The sequence below is a fragment of the Homo sapiens genome, chromosome 3, assembly GCF_000001405.40.
Source record: "Homo sapiens chromosome 3, GRCh38.p14 Primary Assembly".
NCBI lineage: Eukaryota > Metazoa > Chordata > Mammalia > Primates > Hominidae > Homo > Homo sapiens.
Window position 1 is genome coordinate 77,614,039 of NC_000003.12, and position 25,386 is coordinate 77,639,424.

At 35.8% G+C, this 25,386-nt stretch overlaps 1 protein-coding gene across 41 annotated transcripts in view; it reads left to right on the forward strand.

Moving 5' to 3' along the window:
• Nucleotides 1-25,386, forward strand: part of ROBO2 (roundabout guidance receptor 2) — a 1,743,290-nt gene that overhangs the window by 1,707,364 nt on the left and 10,540 nt on the right. For 32 of the 41 annotated variants that reach the window (NM_001378191.1, NM_001378195.1, NM_001378196.1 and 29 more), the window contains 3 exons: nucleotides 3,475-3,735; nucleotides 8,189-8,394; nucleotides 20,832-21,005. In NM_001378191.1, the coding sequence (NP_001365120.1) occupies nucleotides 3,475-3,735; nucleotides 8,189-8,394; nucleotides 20,832-21,005 (641 nt within the window). Of the gene's footprint in view, nucleotides 1-3,474; nucleotides 3,736-8,188; nucleotides 8,395-18,435; nucleotides 18,619-20,831; nucleotides 21,006-25,386 lie in introns of all 41 variants that reach the window. The other 9 variants (XM_047448673.1, XM_011533981.3, XM_011533982.2 and 6 more) reach the window with 2 other exon arrangements.

The window sequence follows — 25,386 nt, forward strand, 5'->3', positions numbered from 1 at the left end:
ACAAATTAATTTATTTGAGCAGGAGATTCTTGTTGTAAAAACTGTCTGAAAAGGTAGATTGCGGCTTAGACATATTCAATGGATGGAATAAAGAGAAGTAAATCTTCTTATTCAGACCATTCTGATATTTTCATAGATGAATTTGTAAGTGGTGGGCAGGATTGGTTAGAGGATGCGAAAAACTGAAAGCAGAAAATCCCACCAGGACAGTGAGTTACAATATTTTAAAGCAATAGGATCTTTTTTCCACATGAAATTTAATTGTGATCTCCAACATATAAAACAGATAAAAATGGCATCAATTTTTTAGAGCAATATGTTCTTTAAATTCAGATTAGCACTCATTATATAGTCAATTAAATGGGAATACAGTTTAAATGATGGTATTTTCTAGTATAAAAATTGCTATTTGTAACACACTAGTGTGTGTCTGTTGTTTATAATGTCTAATATTATAGTAGATATTTAGGAGGAAATATTCCTATCAAACCATACAGGGCTTCTGAAACAGGGTCTTGCAACTCACTTAGGTAGCCTCAGCAAGAGAATAAAATGGCCATGGAAATGAAAATAAAGGAGTTACAATTATAACTAACTTTGAAGGAAGAATCTTTGGAATTCGGGAAAAAGCATTTAGGGGTCTAAGGAAATTGAACATCCAAAGATGATATTATTCCCCCAAAAAACCAACCAACCAACCAACCAACCAACCAACCAAACAAACAAACAAACAAAAACCCTTTCTGTAACTATCTCTCACCCACAGGAAAATTTCAAACTCCTTGTAGGGGCTGATAAGGCCTTCAGTGACCAGCCTATCCCTAACTCTCTTGCCTCTTCCGTGGCCAATTTTCTTCTTTCTTTGCCAGCTCTTGGCATTTAGGGAAGTATTTGAACTCTTCAAATTCCTTTCTCTTCCTCCGGGCTTCCACACGTGTTGTTTAAAATGTTCCTTTTACTGGTGGTCAACATAGCCCTGCCCAACTCCAAAACTAGTTTAGACCTCCTGCTTTCTACTTTTATGGCATCTTGCATCACTGATTATTTGTTTAATATCAGCTTTCCCCACTGAATTGTATGCTCTGTGAAATAGATTCAGGACCCTGACACATAACTGTCCAAAAAAATAAATTAAGAGTTTTTTTTTAAATAAAGTTTATTTTTACATCTGTTTTAGGCTTACAGCAAAATTGAGCAGAAGGTACAGATTTATCCCAGCCCCCACATATTGATAGCCTCCCCAACTATCAAGGTTCTCCACCAGAGTGGTACATTTGTTACAATTGATGCGCCTACACTGACACATCATCATCACCTAGAGTCCATAGTTTACATTAGGGTTCTCTCTGTGTTGCACAGTCTATGGATTTGGACAAATGTAATACATGTATCCACCATTATTTTATAATACAGAGTGGTTTCACTGTCCTAAAATTCCTCTGTGCTCTGCCTGTCCATGGTTTCCTCTCATCTAGCCTCTGGAAACTACTCATCTTTTTCCTGTCTCCGTAGCGTTGACTTTTCCAGGGTGTCAAGTAGTTGGAATCTTATTGTGTGTACCTTTTTTAGACCTTTCACTTGGTGATATGCGTTCAAGTTTCTGCCATGTCTTTTTATGGCTTGACAGCTCATTTCTTTTTAGCAACGAATAATATTCCATTGCATGGATGTAATGCAGTTTATTTATCCATCTACCTACTGGGAGACATGTTGGTTGCTTCCAAATTTTGGCAAGTATGAATAACACCAATAAAAATATACACGTTCAAGTTTTATGATAAATTCAGCTTTTAAACAAAATAAATGGAAAGGCATTCAAGTGAAAATATTCAAGAATCATCCGGACATTTATAAGTTACTCTTTGTAAGAGAGATCAAGACTAGAGATGTACATTTCTGATATTTACTCATATCACAGTTTCCCTAATGAATATCTCCCATGTACCAGAAACTGTATGAGGTGCAAGAAGTAGATAAGAATGACAGCTTTCTTGAATTTAAGAATCTCACAAAATAGTGGGAGAAAAGAAACACAGAAACAAATAATCTCAATATAATATGAGGAGTACCACAATATAAGTATTATGGAATTGCAATTAATTCCATTTGGAGTGGGGAAGAGAAGACTTCACAAAACTGATGACGTTTGAAGTGACTGGTTGAAGGAAGAGTAGGCAGTTACAAGCAAGTGATTTGAGAACAGTCATAAACAGATGCAGACTTTAGAGAAAAATATAGTATATGGATGTTGAGGAAATAGTGCGAGATTAAGCTGGAAAGATGAGTTTATCAGACTAGGATGGGTTTTTTAGACCTAGCTAATGAGTTGGAAAGGTTTTTTTTTAATACTAGTTATAATCACTGAATAATTTTAGGCTTAAGCGTGATGTGAATGAAGATTTTAGAGATATAATTCTGTTGCACGTGTTTAACAAAGGGTGGAAGAGAAGATGATGATACCGGAAGAGTAGGAAAGCTAATGAGCTTGTTTACAGCAGGAAAGTGATGTGTGATTGTGGGAGTGGGGGTGAAGTTTGGAGAAAGATTCACTAGGTATTTAAGAGGCTGAATGTATAAGACCACTATATCCAATAATATTATTTATCTTTTCCTTGTCTGTGTTTAAAAGGATGTTATAATCCATTTGATTTATGAAAGTATTCAGACTACAGAGAATTGAAATAAAAAAGCTATTGATTTTGTCTCATGGTTAAAACTTTTTGGATTAATTTTCTATATTCACAGACCACAGTCCCTAAAAAAATATGGTTTTAAAATAATTGTCATATTTTATACTCAAAATTTTTTAAAAGGATAGATCTCGTGTTAAAGTTTTTTACTACAATAAAAGTATTATTTTTATTTTATAGGGCAAGGTTTTGAACTCCTGTTTTGTGATTTGCATTTGGATGACAAGATAAAGAGGACATTAGTTTCTACTGAGAAAATTAAGAGAATCAAAGAGATACTGAATGCATTTATATGATAGTCTTAATGACATATGGAATGAAAGGTTGTCAGATATCTAGAACAAGAACAAGTAAAATTCTCCAATACTTCTTAGATAATCAATCAGCGATATTGGCATGTAATGGTGCACAAGTATGAACAGGAGAAGGAAGCAGTTAAATCTACAAGCACTAAATTCATTAATTGTCTTTAATTAGCAATTTGGTTTTTCCACATGAGTAAGTTTGTTGGGAAGTTATTGCCTCTTGTAACTGTGGGGTAACAATTAGCTAAAAAGGTCTTTTAAGAATAAATTGAGATATTGAGATAACAGATGTAATTACAATTAGAAATTAAGATAACAGCCAGGTGATTTACTGTGGTGACACCAACAGCTTCAGGAAGAAATAAACCGAGAGAACATTTCAGATACCATGTGGTTGCTACTTATTGCCAGTATAATTGTGTGCATGTATGTGTATATGTATTTGTGTCAATGTGCATATTTTTCTCATTTAATTTCAGCTATGACAGTGATAGCTGGTGCCCACCATTGCCAGTACAAACTTACTTACACCAAGGTCTGGAAGATGAACTGGAAGAAGATGATGATAGGGTCCCAACACCTCCTGTTCGAGGCGTGGCTTCTTCTCCTGCTATCTCCTTTGGACAGCAGTCCACTGCAACTCTTACTCCATCCCCACGGGAAGAGATGCAACCCATGCTGCAGGCTCACCTGGATGAGTTGACAAGAGCCTATCAGTTTGATATAGCAAAACAAACATGGTAAATATCTTCATTAAGTCAAGAGACCCATGCTTTCAACACATGGAAATTTTTTTCAGAATAAATTCACAAGAGATTCTGATAGAACTACACAGCTAGGGTTAAAAGTGATTTTGTATGACTCCTTAATCATTTAGATAAATGTATCCACTGAGAAATGTTAAATAATTTGGCCAAAACTAGAACTAGAACTAGAACTAGAACTGGAACTGGAGCTGTAACTGTAACTGTAACTAGAACTAGAACTAAAACTAGAACTAGAGCAAGAATTCAAATCTGCTGTATTTCAGGCTAAAGTGCTCTTGGCTACACCAGAATCTTTTCTAATTTATGGTTTATCTTCAATTAGCTTATCATTGAACTCACATCCCATGATGTAATAAAAGACTCCTTTTAGATTCCTCAAAGTGCCTGTGATTAATTCTGTATGTGGTTGTCAATATGTAAATGTGAGCTTCTGCAAATCACATATGGTCAGTATTAGTTATTAAAAGACTCTCTTTACCTGAGTTAAGTGCAACAGAAAAAAAAAGACAATACTAGTATCAGTAAGTGCATAAAAAGCAGGAGTAAATCAAAAATTTCACATTTCTTTTTCTAATCTATAAACTTTTGTAAACTACAGGTGTCAGTTTACCTAGGTATCCTGTGGAATTAACACAGATATATAAATGGGACTAACGCTAACAGTTTTATACAGGATTTTTGTTATTCAATCTTTCTATTTTAATTTTCAAAAGCCCAGGCTTTTATATCACTATTTTAAAGCTCCATGTCATACTCCAATTTTCTTCTGTTGATTTACCCTTTGTGCTTGAAGTCTGAGTAAATTTTTTAAATAGTATTTGTTTTGTTTTTTAAATTGTTCTAGTCATGGGGATAAATAATTCTTATTCTCATTATTAATGAAGTATGTATTATTAAAATACAGCTAACTATACATAGAAAGAGATACCAAAAGGAAGAGTATTACTTAAAGATTATTACAAACAGCCTCTTTTCTTAAGATATTCTTGAACATTTTCCAACAGTCATCAGATGCTTTCTCAAAGGTCAAAGACAACTTACCGTTAAACGCTGTTATTTTTCATCAATCTGCTTTTAATAAAACATCACTATGTAAGTTGAAGCCAGCTGCTTCAAGAGCCACAGGGCTTCCTTCACGTTAACTAATGAAGCAATGCAGTTTGGTCATCTAAAGCACAGACTCAAGCTGAAGGGTTCTCAAATTTGCCACATTTTAGAACCATTTGGATAACCTTAAAATATATTGGTACCTGGGCTCCACTCCCAGAGAAAGATTCTGACTGCCATGATCTGGAATTTGATCCAGATCATGGGACAGCCAAGGTTGGGACCACTGCCGTGGAGATGAACCTGTCTTACTAGCTGCATGACTTTGGGCAACTTGCTCAACATTTATATGCTATAGTTTCCCCATGTGTAAAATGATGGTGATGATAATAGTAATTAGCTCATATAGGAAATTAGAGGGCAGTCCCCAAGACAACCTATATTTCTGATACCAAGTACAAGTTTCAAGGGTCCCCAAGACCACCCTGAAGTTTCAGAATTCTCTATAGTAAGTCATAGAACTCACCAAAAGATTTTACACTCAAAGCTACAGTCTATTACAGTGAAAAGATACGCATTAAAATCAGCCAAAAGAAGAAATGCATGGGACAAGGTCCAGGAAAATTCCAAAAGTAGAGCTTCCAGTTGTCCTCTCAGTGGAATCATAGCGTTACTTTCCCAACAAAGGGTGTGACATTACACACCATGGAGAATTGCCAGCCAGGGATGGGCACACCTTCCTTGAGGTCCTGCGACTTCATTTTGGCTCTGTCACACAGACATTGTTGACTACCCATATGGCTGACCTCAATTTCCAGCCCCTCCAGAGGCTGAGGTGACACCATGCAACTCCAAGCCCCCCCATAATCATATTGCGATGCTTTTTGGAGTAGCCTAAGGCCTCTAGGTAAGCAGAGAGACTTTTATCCACAGGACATTCTAAGGGCTTACAGATTACCTCCCAGGAGTAGAGGGCAAAGGCCTAACCTCTCTTGGGTCGAGGTTCAATTCTTTGTTACATATCCTAGTTTTTGTGAGAATGAAATGAGTATGAACTTATATACTACTGTCCCTGGCTGTATATTAGCTGTTATTAGTTAGAAAGGCCTAGGTTTTCACCCCTGAGTTGTTCACTTCTGTCTTCCCACACTTAGAAGAGTGTCCCACTTAGTAAATGCTTGATAGATATTTGGTAAAAGAATGAACAAATTAGTTCATCTCCACCTGCTGCAAATACCCATAGAGGACACCCTGTTTCTTCTTCTGAGTGTGTTCCTACTCAACCAGCAATCTTTCAGAATGCCTTGGCTGACTCCACATCTGGGAGTTATGAGCTTGCATGTGCTTCTGGTTTGGAAGTGACTCACCATCTGGGTAGCACATCAACATCATAGGACTGTTTAACAAATAATAATTCCCAGGCTCCACCTCCCAGGATCTGTTTCTATTGATTCGTGAAGTAAACAGCACAGTGCCTGTCACTAGAAGATATTTATAAATGTTATGTGTCCTCTTCCTGTATTTCAATTTACCTCTTAATTTTGCTTAAATAGGAGTACATTTTTTATTCCATCAAGGTATATTTGTTTTATCAAGAGGTATCAATTCATAAGCATATTGATGGCAACATTTATAGCAAGATGTGCTCATCTATCCTCAAGCTTTTCTGTACTAATACTTAGGAAACTTGCTATTTCTTCCTATTTTTCAACTAGCAGGCTGTGAGGAATGCTGAATACTAACTTGGGGCCTGAACTTTCTAATCTGTTAAAGATTGAAGATTGGGATCTGATGATATTGAGGTAGCTTCCAGAATTAGAAATTTTTTTAACATTGAAACATCTAGAATCCTGTTAACATTGAGGTTGGTTACAAGTTCAAGAAGCCAGTTGGGAGAGGAATATTAAACAAATTCGGGAAGATTAAAATATTTTCCCCAAATCATGCAAATGACAAAGAAAAGTAATCTAATGTCTTTCATTCACCAGCCAACAATAAAAATGCATAGTACTTTTTAAGATCTCACCTAAATAGCACAGCCTTTTAAATACCTTTTATATGAAGGCAAAGAAAATACTTACTATGTTAAAACATGTAGTACACTCACTTTTTAATGCTGGTAACAAATAACAATAAATTCATTTCATTTAGCATTTTATGGTTTAGAAGAAAATCTGAGTAGACTCAAAGCAAATCAACTGGACCCTACTGCCCAGCTTCACACTTTGTTAGCTACCTGATTTGAAACAAGTCACTTAAATTTGACCTTCACTTTAATAAATTCTAAAGAAGGTTGGGCCAAGCATGATAGCTCATGCCTGTAATCCCAGCACTTTGGGTTGCTGAGGCAGGACGCTTGCTTAAGCCCAGGAGTTTCAGACCAACCTAGACAACATAGTGAGAATCCCACTCTACAAAACATTTAAAAACTAATTGGGCATGGTGAAGCACACCTGTAATGCCAGCTACTTGGGAGACCAAGGCAGGAGGATCGCTTACGCCTGGGAAGTCAGGGCTGTAGTGAGCCATGATCGCATCACTGCACTCCATCCTGGGTGGCAGAACAAGACCCCTTCTCTCCAAAAAATTAAATAAATAAATAAATAAATAAATGAGGGTTGATAATGCATGATCTATTTATTTCATAAGGTTGAGATTAGAATTATTTATTCATTGCAAAAGGTTTATTTAACACACTAGTGTTCCAAACACAGAGAATCCTTAGATGAATTGTTTATGCCTTTGAGGAGTTTAAGACTTTGTTGGGTGAGACAGATACATAAATAGCTACTAGAGCACAAATTAGTTGTGCCTACCCTAAACTGGGTTATAGTGAAAGTGGAAATAGCCTTCCAGCCTTGATGTGAGAGAGATCGTGTGGGGAGGAAGCCTTCTAGGGTGGGAAATGTGTTCAGGGTTGGGAGGTAGGGGATATTAGGTCCTCATGTGACATCTTTTCTTCATAAGGGCCAGCAGGCAGCATGGGTTACACAGACTGAGTAGAATTTTGACACTAAACTGAGAACAAAAGTATAATATTTTTGGAGAAAAATATTCACTTTAAATAGTTACTCGTGGCGAATATTCCTAGTCCCCTCTAGATAACTTCTTTTCACAAAAATACTGGGCCCGTATTTTTTTTTCTCCGTGTGTTATCCTATAAATACCAAGTGAAGAGTTTAATGGTTTATGTTTTCCTTGTTTGGTGAGGCTCGTATTCGTAGCCATTGTTTCTGCTGAAAGCATTATGAACTCCTAAATTAGTTAATGGAAAGGAAGAAGACAGTATGAGTTACTATAGCATGCATTTAATTAAAATTATGATTTTGTTGCATGTTAATAAGTTGCTTTTCTTTTTTAAATTTCATTTGAATTCTAGGCACATTCAAAGCAATAATCAACCTCCACAGCCTCCAGTTCCACCGTTAGGTTATGTGTCTGGAGCCTTGATTTCTGATTTGGAAACGGATGTTGCAGATGATGATGCCGACGACGAAGAGGAAGCTTTAGAAATCCCCAGGCCCCTGAGAGCACTGGACCAGACTCCTGGATCCAGCATGGACAATCTAGACAGCTCTGTGACAGGTAACGGAACCAATTTAATAGGAAAAACTGACCTATTGGTAACATTAAAATGCATCAAAAGTCAACTACTTCCTTATTGTAAGATTTATTCCACTCCATCTATTTCTGTAACATTTTAAATGTGTTAATATTAAATACAAAATTCAAAAAGGATTTGGAAATACTTTTGCTTTGCTGCAAAAATGATAAGAAAATTCATGAATTTTAAAAAGCTTTAAAGACATGAAAGAAAACTCAATTATATCTAGGGCTTTCATGAGAAGTTCACTCTACTAGGAAACCAAGTCTATTACATTAAAAACCTTGACTTTTAGAAATGATCTTTTTTATATATATCAGGAATAACATATGAAGTGAATGCAATCTTAAAATGCTTCTTGATATTTCACTCTGTAAAATCATTCACTGATGGAAAGTAAGCACGTCTCCTGAATAAGCCACTTTAAGGTTGCACAAGGTATTATTTTTAGAATGAAGAAAATGTGTAGTGAGATAAACCATATGTTTATGCATTTCACATTGCTGCATCTAGTAAATGCTTCTCTTCCAAGAAATGCAGTTATTTTTTCTGTTTATTTCTTTGGCTTCCTCTTGCCTTGTTCATCAAACGAAAGAGTTGCATTGGTACTCTTCTATGATGATCCCAGGACTAAGGTATAACCTATTTTCAGGGATTTAAATGTACCAATTTTTTTAAAGAAAACTTTAAATCCTAAAATGGACACAATGAATTTGGAGAAAACTAAAAATTCAGTCTTTCTATTCAAATAGATATACACTGTTGGACACACAAGAAAATGCCTCTTACATGACTGTGTAGACCGAGCTACTACAAACTGAAGTCTGGTCTCTGCATTTCACTGGGTCTTCTCAGAAGACCACTCATATCTGTATTTACCGTGATGACATCTTTCATCCTAGGAGATATTTTACCACAATCCCGCTTAATTCATTTTTATGCCAACAGCTTCCAAACTTTCACAGATTTTACACAATGTGTTAGAGTTCTACAAACACTGATGGGAACTGGTTTATGACAGGATAAAGCAGCATCAGCGCCTATGATTTTCCTCTGTATTCCTCCCTGAATTACTCAATGTGTGATGCATGAGCCCATTTTTCAGTTTTTCTTCTTATCCAGGGGCTGGTCTGCTTGCCAGCCTAATTAAGATTTAAGAGCTGCAGATACACCGCTGTGATTTGAAATCCAGATCCAACCGAAGGTGACAGAGCACAAGTTAAAATCTTCAAATGCAGAGAGCTGACTTATTAGTGCACTATTATGTTAAGCCCCTTTGCCTGAATTTCCAGCATAATCTCCTTCAGGGTAAAATTCTGCATATTTTTGCATATTTCACTAATGATACTGAACTCTTTTCCATTAGGAATGCAGTAACAAATTGCAATAATGATGAAAAACAGTCAGCTATAGTCTGTGTAGTTCTTTTATTAAATATTATAATGTCAAAGATGATAAATACGTCTATAAATCAAGAGAATGCCATTTTGCACTTTTACATGCTCACCTGTGACATGTTAGGCTGCCTGATGTGACTGCAGCTCAAGCAGTCTGTATTTCTCCTGTAGCTAGTGTAATGTTCATTCCAAATGAAGCTTTTATTGCTGAGAAAAAAAGTCTGGTTTTCTCCTTGAATTCACTGCTTAATTACTGCCATATATAAAAACCTCAGGGTGTTTAAGTTTGTATTCCATGATGAGTTTATCCTATGAATAATACATCTCTTTAGTAAAAGAAGTTGTGTTCTACACAAAAGTAGCCAAATACAAACTCACTTTTTTTTTCCTTTCTCTTCCACAATAACTTTGTGGAGAAGGTGTGATCAAAGATTTAATTTGCTTTCTATGGTATGTGAGTAAGTGCTTATAAGTGTGTGTGTGAGAGAGTATGTGTTAGATGTGTGAGTGTATTAGAACGTGGGTGTGGGTGCTTGTGTAGGGAGTGAGTACGTGTATAAATGTGTGAGAGTGTAGATAAGGTTGTAAGTGTGATATAGTGTGTGTGCATGCATGCATGCAGACATGTATGAGAATAGCCCTGAGGTAGATGTATATAGAGACTGAATATTAGAGAAATCAGCATGCCAATGAATGTTGTTCTAACATGCTTATGTTTTCCTCAGACACTTAATGCTAGTTTAATGGCGCTGAATGAGGTGGACAATAAAACAGGCATTATTTCTATGAGCTTTTTATGTTTTTAACATGGTAAGTGCCCATACAGTGGATGCGGATCATACCACCAGTTACTTTGGGTTCTAAATATATTTGTGGTGTGAATAAATTAGTCATTACCTCCCCCTGAAATGCTGTTAGTTATTTTCACTTTCATGAAACTAATGACCATTTTATTAAAGAGATCTAACAGTTACAGGAGGCAGCATGGGTTACACAGTCCCTGAAACCCTGAAACCAATCAGAATATTGGGTTCCAGTCCCTGCAACTCTGAAGCCAATCAGAATATTAGTTCAATAACAACACTGGGATGGGCTGGTAAGCCTGTATGTAAAATTATGCAGGATTTTACTTGGATATATTGCACTTCACAGCTGCCACATTAGGGAATATATCAGCAGTTATCCAGGGACAGAGCCCATTTTTTTGTAAAGAAATAAGCATGTTAACTACAATTAGTTGTTTTTATAACAACTAATTTGTGAGGGATCTCTTAAATTTTGAAATGATGTTCTATGAGTGGAAAAGGCTAAAAAAAAGAAGAAAATATCAGCAGTTCCATATCCCATAATCTCAGTACTGGATAATATGTATATTTGCAGGTCTGCTGTTAATATTTCTTTCTTCCTACAACAAACACCTATCGAATGCCTATTACTTCTAATCACTTGGCTAAAAATTTAGATTCAGTAATAATAATAATAATAGGTAACACATATACAACCTTTACGAAGTGCAAGCCATCTTTCTTTCTTTCTTCTTTTTTTTTTTTGTCGGAGTCTCACTCTATCGCCAGGCTGGAGTGCAGTGGCACGATCTCGGCTCACTGCAACCTATCCCTCTCGGGTTCAAGCGATTCTCGTGCCTCAGCCTCCTGAGTAACTGGGACTACAGACGCCCACCACCATGCCCAGCTGATTTTTGTATTTTTAGTAGAGACGGGGTTTCACCATGTTGACCAAGAGGGTCTTGATCTCTTGACCTCGTGATCCATCTGCCTCGGCCTCCCAAAGTGCTGGGATTACAGGCGTGAGCCACTGCGGCCGGCCCATGCAAGGCATCTTTCTAAGCAGTAGCCTGTATTTTGTGTGGTCTCATTAGCTAAGAATGGTTTTTCACATTTTTGAAAGGGTTGTAGGAAAACAAGAAACTAACTAACAAACAAAAACTAAGAAGAATGTATGACAGAGACAGCAAAGCCTAAAATATTTACTATCTGTCATTTTACAGAAAAAAGTTTGCTGATCCCTATTATAAAGTTTTAATGTATATTAATTCATTTGATCCTCACAACCCTATTAATAGTATTATTTTCATTTAATAGATTAAAAACAGAGGGTTTTAAAGCCTTTGTCCAGGTTACCCACCTGATAAATGGAAGAAGAATGTTCAAAATCAATCAGTCTTACTCTAAAGACAAATTATCATGATCCCTGCTCTGGAAACACACAACTTTCTTCTAATCTGAGGAATAGGTATATTTAAGAGGAAAATAATATGCTGGTTTGTTGCTTCATATGTGGAACTGAGTGTGTGTGTATATAAACACACATGAATAAATATGTATACAAGCACAACATATAATTTTCTCTCTCGAAACATTAGTCCTTTTTCCTTATGCATTTAATCAAGATCAAGATATTAATTTTAGATGTGACTTTTGTGATTCATTTTTTTCACATTCAGTTCTATGTTTATTTAAAGTGACCCATGCTAACAAAATTCAACTGTATCAGCACTTTTTGCAATGAACCTCATTTTAATAATTTTCATTGTAATCTATGCTCATAATGCACACCTATTTGATTGTAATAAAATACAACATATTTATTTATTGCAGCTCATTGCACTCTGTTTGGGCTAGAAAGTAAACATAAAGGCTTGTTTCTGTCTTCAGGAATAAGCCTGTAATTTCTTCCTAAATGCCAAACCGTTGGGTAACGGGGAGGGAGAGGGCTACAATACTTCTTTCTGTAATTTCCATGGCAGGAGTCAATGGTAATTGTTTCCCAAATTTCATGACACCACCAGGAAAAAAGAAACAGAAGGCAGTAGGAGAGAGTGCAGGGGGAAAATGCCCTCAACGTGTAGCAAAGATTCTAACTGCCTCAGTGATCACAAAAAGGAAGACTGAGATTGTGTGCTGTTCAGTGAAACAAGTAAAAAGTTTCCTTGACTGCTGGACCCCACATGAATATCACAGCTGAAAGGAAATCATGGCTCTATATTTTGTGTTACGTTTTTGGAGGTTTGTTGTGGAACTCCCACAACAGATCAGTATGGAAACAATGAAACCTGGTGGCCTCACCATCTGACTCGACCACACAGCTTTTAGAGCCTCGGCCACTAAAATATTTGACCTGAAACTTTGCTTTTCTACAAAACTTAAAGGAAAATAAGTTTAGTATTAGGGAAAAGTTCAGGGATAATGCTACAGTAATCAAATTAATTTCTTAGACTACTTTTACAGGTTTGATGCCTTTAAAGAACAATTAAATGTGTATTTCAAAATTGAACAGATAAAAAGGGGAAGTGGGATATTACACGTGTAATTTTTATCTGAGTGAAACAAGGTATCAAGCATCGTATGTCCTAATGAAGATATTTTTAATTGCTTATTTTGCTTTCCATATATATTACACATTCCTTTTCTTTCTTTCTTTTTTTTTCTGAGATGTTGTCTCGCTCTGTCACCCAGGTTGGTGTGCAGTGGCACTATCTCTGTTCACTGCAACCTCCGCCTCCCAGATTCAAGAGATTCTCCTGCCTCAGCCTCCTGAGTAGCTGGGATTGCAGGCTCGGGCCACCACGCTAAGCTATTTTTTTTTTTGTATTTTTAGTAGATACGGGGTTTCACCATGTTGGCCAAGCTGTTCTCAAACTCGTGACCTCAGGTGATCTGCCCATTTTAGCCTCCCAGAGTGCTGGGATTACAGATGATTACACATCCCTTTCTCTCTGAGGCACGCAGGTGGAATTGTTGCACATTCAATATGTTTGAGTGAAAGAAGAAGTTCTGTAGATTTGACATGTTTTTCTACGTGTAGGCAAAGGTCAATATTTGGATTAATTTGTCTAAAGACATTTGTAGCTGCAGCTTTTACTTAATAGGTAGACAAATAACATTTAATAGGAAAAGTTCATAGATTAAATATTGGTTGAAAAAATGGAGAATGGCTAGTTTTTGTATCTCATAAAAATGGTAATGCAACAATTAGCAGGGTCATCTTATAAAGCACAGACTTTAGCTTAATGGATCTAAGGATAAGCATTTATCAGCAAGGAAAGATTTAGCATAAAATGACATGTAAATGAATTGATGACTGATCATAAATTAATTTTAGTGCTGAAGATGTAATAGAGACACAGCAAGATGCCACTTTATCATGATATTTTACTGCTCAGTAACATCTGAGCAACAACTTAATGTCCTATGTGCAGTACTACTTTAACAGCTTGAATACATTTGAGATTTTTTTTTGCCTTTTCTGCAATTTAAATCAGGGAAATTTGGAAAGATTGAAAATGTAAACACAAATAAATTTGGCTATCTAACATAAATTCATTGTTCATTAAATGTTTAAATATGTATTGATTATGTTTGGGGCTGAAACATGTCAAATTGGTATGGAGTGCTTATTAATTTGTAAGAAGCCTCTAGCCGAATTGGTTTTACCTGGTGTTCATTTTAATTTTCGTGTTTATACTTATGTTTGTGAAAGAAAATCAGTTATCACAAAAGTGACTTACTTTTAAATTTGTAGATTAATGTTTTTATTTTCATTCATTCATTATCTTTTCTTCTCTCTCTCTCTTTTTGTGGGGGGGGGGTAATTGTTTACCTAAATCTTCAGCTCATTGCTCTTGTTTAAATCTCAACATTTTTCCTTTTTTCAGAAAGGCCACTAGACGTAAAATCAGTAGATGTTCAATACATTTTAGCCATTTTACAGAAGGAATTCTAACATCTTATATACTATTTGATTCATGGAATGTGGCCAAATGTCTTTTAAAAATATTTACCATAAATATGCCCATTCCATACATCTTAACCAAACTGTAGAGGAAGGGATGTCGAAAATCCCAGACAGAGAGGCAGAGAGACAAAGAGAAGGAGAGAGAAAATTTCTTTCTATGTTCCTTGCCCTCCGTTTTGAAGGCAAACACAACTACACTAACGTGAGACACTTCCCTCTCTTCAGATTGGGTCATGAGATTTCCTGTTGCCCAATATGGCCAAGTATCTGTGGTCACATATCTTTAATTCTGAAGTCATCTATCTAGTCTCTTTGCTCTTACAAGAAGTACAAAAGAAAGAATAGCTGACGTTCTTTCTGTATTTACCAATACTCACTTGAAGCCCTGGCTTCCATGTGACTCTCTCTTCCCAGAGGGAGACAAAAAGCAGCAGGGAAAACTTCATGAATAATTGGGAGTTTTAAGGACATACAAGGAGCATTAAAGGCTGGGAGAAAGGCAGAGCAAAGACACAAAGGCTGGAAGTAGTCCATTTGTTTAGAGTATCACAAGTGTGTGTGTGGAAATGCTCGGATGAAGAACTGTCAAGTTACCACAGGGAGATAAACAGGGTTATCTGAGGCGGAAAGTTAGGCTGATTCTCTGCTAGGAGGTCTCACAGGATATCATTTCTTTAGTGATGCTACCGTGGTGTAGGATTTACTGGTTTCACCTGTCAATAGCTACACCACAGTCAGTTTTATAGGTTCAGAGACTAAATGTGTCACTATGCTAGATCCTCAGGCTGGAATTACACAGCAAGCAGACATAGACAGGAAACGAAAGAAACTCAACTATTTTTAGGCTGGTTATAGTGGAAAAAGAAAAATTTTAGAAAACAAATCACTGGGCCAAGTGCATTAAGATGGATAAATGAGGATGGAAAAGTTACACTCCAAAGAAACTTAGCTGCCACTTAATGTAAATTTTTTATCTTAATTTGAATAAGATATTGCTAAATATCAATATTCAAGTATATCAAAGCATAACCAATACACATGCATATATATCACATATATGTATACTATTTATATAGTGTCATCATATTCCTTATTTAATAAACTTTCTAAGAGTTCTTATAAGAAAATTCTTTCTATAGTTAAAATAAGGACATTGCTAAGAAATTACACATCAAATAATGTCATACACAGAATTATAGAATAATGAAAACGTTGAATGCATTTAATTCCATATGCCTACTGTTTATTGAATTTCTAATGTACAATGTCACTGGACAATAAATATGAAAATAAACATGAAATAGTTCCTAATCTCCAGAATTCCATTGTCTAGGAGAGGAAACACATGTGCAGTAGACCATAATATATAGAGAGAACTGATATGCGAGTTTATGTGTAGTGTTTGGAAACCAAAGGAGGTAGAGAGATTGATTCTCGCTGTAATAGGACAGAATCATGGTGATAACAGAAATGGCATTTAATTTAGACTTTAAAGTTTGTCAGTGGTTAATAGTGTTAGTGGCAATATCTCTGTCTAAAGAATGAAGGATGATGTTACATAAATGAGCAAGGAGACACACAGGCTGTAAGAGTGAATGAGGACTAATACACAGCAGGTATATTAGTCTGTTTTCACACTACTGTAAAGATATTACCGGAGACTGGGTAATCTACAAACAAAAGAGGTTTAACTGACTCACAGTTCCACACGGCTGGAGAGGCCTCAGGAAACTTACAATCATGGCAGAAGACAAAGGGGCATGTCTTACAAGGTAGCAGGAGAGAGAGAGCAGGGGAAATGCCAGAGATTTATCGAACAACCAGTTCTCATGAGAACTCCCTCACTATCATGAGAACAGCATGAGGGAAACCGCCCCCATGATCCAATCACCCCCCACAAAGTCCCCCCCTTGACACATGGGGATTACAATTCGAGATGAAATTTGGGTGGGGATGCAGAGCCAAATCATATCAGTAGGCTAGCCTAGATATGGAAGGGTTGCAAATATTTAATTAGAAGTTTAGATATGGCATTGGCTAGCTGGGTAAGGCTTTAAACAGAGGAACACATGTATGTAAGTGCTTCACAAAAATAATGTAGAAAGCAATGAGGAAGATAGAAGAGACTAGAGGGAAATCAGGTAGGAGGGGTTTAGGAGTAAAACAAGATGAAGATTAAAGAGATGCTTATTTGGAAAGTAAGAGCAGGTATTTAGAAATACAAGAGCAGGCATTTAGAAATACAGAAAACAGCACAGGGAAGGGACTGGGAGTGAACTTTCAAATGTTTTTAAACTATCCTCCGTTCCAGAGTTTCATATTCTTTTGTGACCCCCTCACTGAATTTCTTTGATTTTTTTCTTATCTAGTATAGCATTATATTGCAAAGCCTACTGCATTATTTCTTCTTTCATTTTGGATCGTTGGTCCTTGACTTGTGGTTATTAACCCAGAAATGATTCTCTCAGAAGAGGCTCAGTTTCTGGTGTTATCTCGGCTTCCTTGCAGTGGCCTGTGTCAAGGGAATTTGTTTGAAAAGTAAAAAGTGTATCTCTGTGCTTTTGGCAACCAGAATCAAAACTCTATCTTTCTTTGCTACACTTAACACCCTTTTAACTTCTCCGATCATTCTAACCAGTTCAGCTTCTGTTTTCTCTGTATTGAAAGTGCATGAATCCGTGTCATTGTATCCTGGCCTCTTGACTAAAATTACAAATACAGCATCAAGGCAACACTCCTAACTATTCTGTTGTTGCTTAAATATTACAGAAAAAAATTAAATGGTCTATAGCATTTGACTTTCATCTCTTTTATGTAAATATGTATTTGGTTTATTTAGAAATCTTAAATTAGTTTCTTACAAATATTTTTTGCCCCTCTTCTAACAAATTTAGGATAAGCAATACTTGGTAGTTTTTTGTGTCATGAATTAATGGTATACCAACATAAATCTTGTAATATTAATTTTATTAAGTAGGAGGTTATGTTCTCAGTCTGTTTTTGTCTAAGAAAACATATAAAATTGTAAATGACTTGCTAGAAAATTAAGAAAAAATGTTTCTGAGTATCCTCACAACTTACAGCTCTTTAAACGTAAAATTAAAATTATTTTCCTCTATTCTCATGTTGCATTTTGCAGAAAAAATTCATATTAATGCTGATGATAGTCCTTATAAGTGTTACTTTTTAATATAAATATCAGTATTAAAGAGAAAACTGGAGTTCTTAAATAACTTAAAAGGCAAAGTAAGCAGAAAGAGCATTTAAATTAATAGAACTTCTTTAAAATACATTTTTTCTTATGTTCTAAGTTCATTTGCTTTGATATTGTTTATACATTTTTTGTTTGTGAATTTTTGTTGTTATTTGTAATTAAGTTTAAATTTTAAAATCTTGAAATAATTTTTGCCCTTTTATGATATACAGTGTAGTTTCTATGCAGATTATCATTGGAGTCTGCGTTAAATTCAAAATATATTCACACTATTTCTTCAACTGAGTCTTTGATAAGTTTAAGTACACTAAGTTTGTTTTACTAAAAGTGTTAATTTCTGAATTATAGTAACTTAAAATACACATCGCAGCTCTCTTTTGGAAAACGATTGTGTAATAATTTAAACAATGTAAGAGTTGAACAGTGCAGCACATGCTTTGCTTATGTGCTGCAAACAGATACAGGTTTCAAATGAGCTTCATTCTTCTGCACAAAAAATGTTTAAAATGTACATGATACTTGCATTTGGCTAAAGAAATCATGATGAAACTTCAAGGAAGAAGCATGGACAACTTACTTGCTCATTAGTATAGTGTGTACAAGCAGATGAGATTTTCAATATATACAACTCACTAGACAACTACATTTGTTTTTAGGTTCAATGGTAAATGGATGGGGCTCTGCATCTGATGAGGATCGTAACTTTTCTAGTCATAGATCTAGTGTAGGTAGCTCCTCAGATGGCTCTATCTTTGCCAGCGGCAGTTTTGCACAAGCACTGGTGGCAGCAGCAGATAAAGCTGGTTTTAGGCTGGATGGAACCAGCCTTACAAGAACAGGTTGGTAGACTCCAAGTCAACACTCTTTGCATGAGAGAATCTTGTCCTTGGACACTGTCCTCTTTTCTCCTGTTCTTTCTCCTTAGTGAGTCTGACTGTAGGGCTTTCTTTAATACGCATGAATACAGTTTGGATGCTCCATTACCCAAACTCTCTTCTGATGCTAGTTTTGCAGAGCCAAGAATAGACTCCTCCTCAACACTTTCTCTTATTTTCCTTTCTCTTCACGGCTTTACTGATTAATTGGAATATGCTTCCTTTTTATATTACGGCAAAGCAGCAACTAAGATTGCCATTAAATTTTCAATAACACATTTTGCAAAATCCTCATACAATTAATAATGTACCCAGTGATTAAAATTACTCAGCTTTTATCTCCATTACTTTCCTTTGCCTCATCTCTTTCTGCAAATGCATTTTCTGGGAAGGTTTCCTTAGCATGGGGTGAATGGGTCTAAGGTTGTCGGTCTTACCAGTTCAAATAGCTTATGATCTTTTTAATTGTTTGGCTAGTAAGATTTTAATACAATAATTTATTATTTGTCTTAAAGGATGCTAATTAAAGATACACCCACTGCATTTGCAAGTTGAATAAAATAATGACTACATGTGTATTTCTCTTTAGAATAATTTAATTTTGATTTCTGAGAGTGATAAGTAATCATATAAAAGAACAATTATATAATTTTTCAAGTGCTGCTCATTCCACAAAAAAGAATGTGGGATTAATAATAGATCAGTAATTTGTAAACTTTTGCAACAAAATAACTTAGGCATGATGCGTGCTTTTACATTTGTATGTATAATTCTTAACTATACATATAAGAATATTCTAATATATGAATTAAACTGAATTACCTTGCAAAGCAAACTAATAAAACATTAAGTACATTTGCAAAATCTTAACTGTAATCAAATAGTAAAGAAAAAAGATTTTTACCCTTCACTAAACTCTCAGGTTATAAAAATGAGTCTTGGAAGTTTTCTTGGAATTATACCATCAATATTTCTTTTAAGCATACATTAGCTATCTTTAAGTGAAATAAAAAAGATCTTCTAAGCATTGCAGAGGTTTATTTTTCAAATAGCATCCAAACTAAAATACGTTGTAATAGAACTGTTATTTGAATTGTCTTGCATTATAAGGCATAAGTCTGAAACTTTATGTTGCTTGAGTGCTTTTTGCAGCATTAGCTGTAAACAGAGCAGTGAGAACGTGCAAGGAAACTAATACATTAGAAGGCACAAGTGCATTTCCTGCATGTATGCTAATAGCTAACACAGCATTAAGTAATATCATATCACGTCGTCGTAAGAAAATGTAACTACATATAATAATGTTGTATGAAATGAAAACATACACAGGAGAATAAATGCATGCACATAAACCAGGCCTCTGTTACTACAATAAACATGGTATTGAAATCATAAGTTGTTGAAAATTTATTAGCTAACCTTTTCCCAGAATAAATTTCCCCGTATACCTACTCTAAACCACAAGAAAAGGACACAGCACATATCATTTTTCAATGAGAATTTGGAGCCTGCTCAGATACAATAATATTAATCAGAAAATACCTATTGCATGCTGGATATACAAGGTGATTTTAACCTGCTATCCTCTACACAGATGTTGTTGAGTTTCTGCCAAAAGAGATAGAATTCATTGTGTATGTGGATAAGTGGTAAGGTCAATTTAATATATGTGTCTGAGCAGACCTTTCATGTAAAATTTCAGATGTAATTACTATATGACATTTTTCTGTGTTCAGAGAGATTTTGTAAGTTTCCAAGGATGAAATTTTATTAAACAAATACAACAGTATATACTTCATAAATAGCTTCTTTAATTTTAAGAAATAAAAACTGCATGAATTTGCATATATCTTTGACAATATCAATAATATTGTCAAGGTTAAATAAAAGTATAATCATGCAATATTGAGTTGTGGATTGGTGGATCTGTTTTATGTTCATTTGTTTGATTTTGAGGGGGCCAGTGGGGGTGTTGTTAGCTTATTAAAAATTGAACAAAATATGTGCAGCTGAGAATGTAGAAAATACATTTTTCTACAGAGATGCACCAATATTTGGTATCTTCATATGTTATCTCTAGGTAGATTTACAGGTTAGTCATAGTGCAGAAATATAGGACAGAATCAGTGTGCTATAATGTCATTCTCTAGAACCCATTCCCTTTATTTTCATTTTAGGAAAAGCCTTTACCTCCTCTCAAAGACCTCGACCTACCAGCCCATTTTCTACTGACAGTAACACCAGTGCAGCCCTGAGTCAAAGTCAGAGGCCTCGGCCCACTAAAAAACACAAGGGAGGGCGGATGGACCAACAACCAGCATTGCCTCATCGAAGGGAAGGAATGACAGATGGTAGGTTTCTTCCCTTTACTCTTGTTTCCTCGCTGAAGAGACGTGCTCCATGCAATCATTTACTTAGATTAATGTAGTCATGGTAGATTAGCCATTGCTTCATTACATAACAAGACAAAAACCTGGCAATATGGCCTTGTTTAAATAAAACACCATTTTTAAAAACAATCTAGAATTATTTCTATATTATTAAGCCTCAAGAAATACATTCCATGCAATTTTTTGAGGTTGATTTTTTTTTTTTTGCCATTCTGGCATATTTCATAAATGCTTTTTAGTGAGCATTTAAGAGTAGGGAAGAACATAAGCTGCATGTGCACTTATATGATCAGAACTTTTATCATATTAAATTACAATATCTTAGCTGCTATTTCACTTTTGGAAAAAAAGACTTTTGAAATGATTTAGTAATTTTTTAGTCACAAATTTCAGAGCCAAAATCAGGCTACAGTAGTTGAAGAGTGTCTTAGTCTGTCTGGGCTGCTATAAAAAAATAGAGTCATGCATTGTATGACAATGTTTCAGTCAATGACAGACTGCATATAAGACAGTGGTGCCATAAGGATGTCATACTGTATTTATGTTGTACCTTTTTTGTTTAAATATGCAAATATTTACCATTGTGTTATAACTGCCTATAACATTCGGTACAGAAACACGCTGCACAGATTTTTACCCCAGATCAATGGTATGTAGTCAGCTATACCATCTATGTTCGTGTAAATATACTACGTGACACTTGCATAACAACGAAATCACCTAACACCACATTTCTCAGAACTTATCTCCATCATTAAGTGACATGTGACTGTACCATAAGCTGGTAGATTCCAAACAACATAAATTTTCTCCACAAATCTGGACTCTGCAAAGTCCAAGATCAAGGCATTGGCAGATTTGGTGTCTGGTGAGGACCCACTTTCTGGTTCATAGAGGGTGCCTTTTCATTGTATGATCACATAGCGGAAGGGACAAGGTTCTCTCTGGGGTGTGTTTTATAGGGTGCTCATCCCTTCATGAGGACTCCACCCTCATCATCGAATCACCTGCCAAAGGCCCCACCTCCCAATATCATCACATTGGGGATTAGGATTTTAACGTTGAATTTTGGGGGTACACAAACATCCAGACTCTAGAAAAGGGTCAGCAAACTTCTTCTATTAAAGTCTAGATAGTAAATATCTTTGGCTTTTGGGACATAGGGTCTCTGTCACAACTACTCAACACTGCCATTGTTGTATGACTGCAGCTATAAGAAAAGTAGAATAGGCCAAGCACGGTGGCTCAGGCCTGTAATCCCAGCACTGTAGGAGGCTGAGGCGGGCAGATCACAGGGTCAGAAGATCAAAACCATCCTGGTCAACATGGTGAAACCCCCTCTCTACTAAAAGTACAAAAATTAGCTGGGCGTGGTTGCACGTGCCTGTAATCCCAGCTACTGAGGAGGCTGAGGCAGGAGAATTGCTTGAACCAGGGAGTCAGAGGTTGCGGTGAGCTGAGATCACACCACTGCACTCCAGCCTGGGCAACAGAGCAAGACTCCTTCTTAAAAAAAAAAAGAAAAGGAAGAAGGAAAATAAAAGTAGAATGATGGAAATGATTGACTTCCAATAAAACATCATTCACAAAATGGGCAGTGGCTGGATTTGGCCCATGGGCCATAGTTTGCTGATCTAGCTCAATATTTTTATTTATATATAGCATCCAACATTTGAATACTTGCTTAAACACTGTTAGTTTCAGGAAACACAATATTACTGGAAGATATCCATGTTCGATAATGAGTATTTCATTAGCTTTACAGAATATAGTCTATTTCCCGTATTTTTAATTTAATTCTTATAACTTTTAAAGAATGAATTAAAATATGTATCCTGAAGTTATATTCTAAGGATATGTAACACATATTTAAAGTGTGTAGTACAATGTCAGATTGAAAGGTGAATTTCTTTTTCCTTTTCAGCACTGTACCCTATAAGCACACAAACATTATCCTAACATAGTTCAATTAAACACCAAAAGGATAAACTTTTAAAAACTGCACATTAGAACCATCTGGAAAGCTCTTAAAATATACCCTAGATATTCAGATTTAATTATTCTGGGGTGAAACCCAGTTACAGGTAATTTTAAAGCTCCACAAGTGAATCTAAAGTATAACTACCTTAGAGAAGCTATGACTTAGTCCTTAGCACACTTACACTTATCATTATAGGACAGAATGAAGCTTAGTTGAAAAAGAAGAAAAGCATTGGTTTTTTATTAGTTTGGGGAAGGGAGTATCCAATCCTGCAGCCCTATTTGTGCTTTCTTTTGTCATCTTGCAAAGGTAAGAGGACTTAAAAAGCCAAATATATTGTTCTACATACTTTCCGGTTTACTTATCTTTCCTGCTTCCTTTGTTTTCAATAGAATATGAAGGTTAAGGGTAGAATTGAGATTTTTGAGTCTCTATAAATGTGTATCCTGTGGTGAGTAAAAATGGTCACCACTGCCTTTCTGCCTTATATGTTCAGAAGATTAGCTGAGCATTTAAAACTATTCGTAGTGTTCATCTAATTCTTCGTAAATAAAAAAGGACTACTTTCACTGAATTGCTAGGTATAAATCTAGTAATTGATAATTTTGTATATTTTTTCTGTTGTGAATATTGTGGAGAGAGAAAAATGTCTAGGTATAGAATTTTCTGTGGTTTTTCAGAAATGTTTGAAGATAATATTCAGAATATGTGGAAGATATAAAATATAAATCAACAAAATACAGATCTCTTTTTTTCTAAGACACTTTTATTGCAAGCTTTTTTAGAATGTTTCCTTAAAGCAAGCTACCTCCTAGTTTAAAGTATGATCAATATATTGCTTATCTTTCTAAAAAATAAATGTTTCTAAATTTTCAAAATTGCCAGCATTTCAAAAAGGGGTTATGGATTATGTGTTATTAGAAAATGATACATTTTAGAAGTAGTGATATAGCAAAGGAAATTTCAGCCCACATATCTTCCCAAGTGCTTAATCCAAAGCCATTTTAATTATGATACAGTGCAAAGACATTTATTTTGGATGGTGCTCTACAGGTTATCCTTAAGAACATTGTTATTTTGCAGCAAATGCATATGCCATAGCATTTATATGGTATGGATCCATATGTCAGAAATAATTTCATAACTTTTTATGTAAAAATCAAGTTGTTCTTTTTGGGAAGGCTGATACTTAGCAGCATTGATTGTACAGACATTTTACAATAAACCTTTTGCATTATAGATTTTACAACAGTGTTTGCTGTTTTCTAAGCAGTATTGTAAAGATGTAGGCCTTTTTAGCACTGGGATACCATCATTTCTGGATCAGACCTTTATGGTTTCTGAGGGGAAGACAGAACATGAGTGGTTGTTGGGAGGTTGTAATGGCAAGTGGCACACATCACTTCTATTTCATTGAAAACAACTCTGCCACGTGGTGTCAAACTAACTACTGGGGTGAGAAAGCTGCCTTCCCTGTGTCCCATAAGAGAGATTATGAATGGTGGGAAATGTCAGTCTGTATCCCAAAGACTGAAAAACCCACACACATCTTAAAGAGTGTTCTTCTCCCTTTTGTAAAGTTTCTCCAAAGCAGGCATTGCTGAGTCCAAATCTTGTATTCCATTTGTCTTATAAATCAAAGAATACCCTTGGAAGCCAATATATTAACCAATGCTAAAAAAGATAGATCTGTCTATCCATCAACCTGTTTCTCCTAGATAATTTATTTCCAGCCTATTCTCCCTTTCACCTAGCTTTTTTTTTTTTTTTTTTTTTTTTTGAGAGGGAGTTTTGTTCCTGTCACCCAGGCTGGAGTGCAATGGTGCGATCTCAGCTCACTGTAACTCCCACCTTCCGGGTTCAAGCGATTCTCCTGCCTCAGTCTCCCAAGTAGCTGGGATTACAGGCATCCACCACCACACCCAGCAAATTTTGTATTTTTGGTAGGTAGGGACAGGGTTTCACCATGAGGGCCAGGCTAGTCTTGAACTTCTGACCTGAGGCTCTCTGCCCACCTCCACCTCCCAAAGTGCCAGGATTATAGGCATGAGCCACCATGCCCGGCCCCTTTCCCCTAGTTCTTAATGTCCTGTTCAGAGAAGGGGCTCTTTCTCAGCTCTGCCACATACTAGCTTTGGCCTTTGAGCAAATAAATTTACATATTAATTAATCTATTCACTCAAATACTTATTAAGTATATAACATATAATAGACAATGGGAGCCAAACAGACAAAATCCCCTGCCTTTTTATATTTTAGTTGGGGAAGATAGATAAAGACCAACCTAAGTACATACATGAACATATAAGTAAGATGGTGATAAATGTTATGGGGAAAAAACAAAGGGAAGGGAGTTGAGAA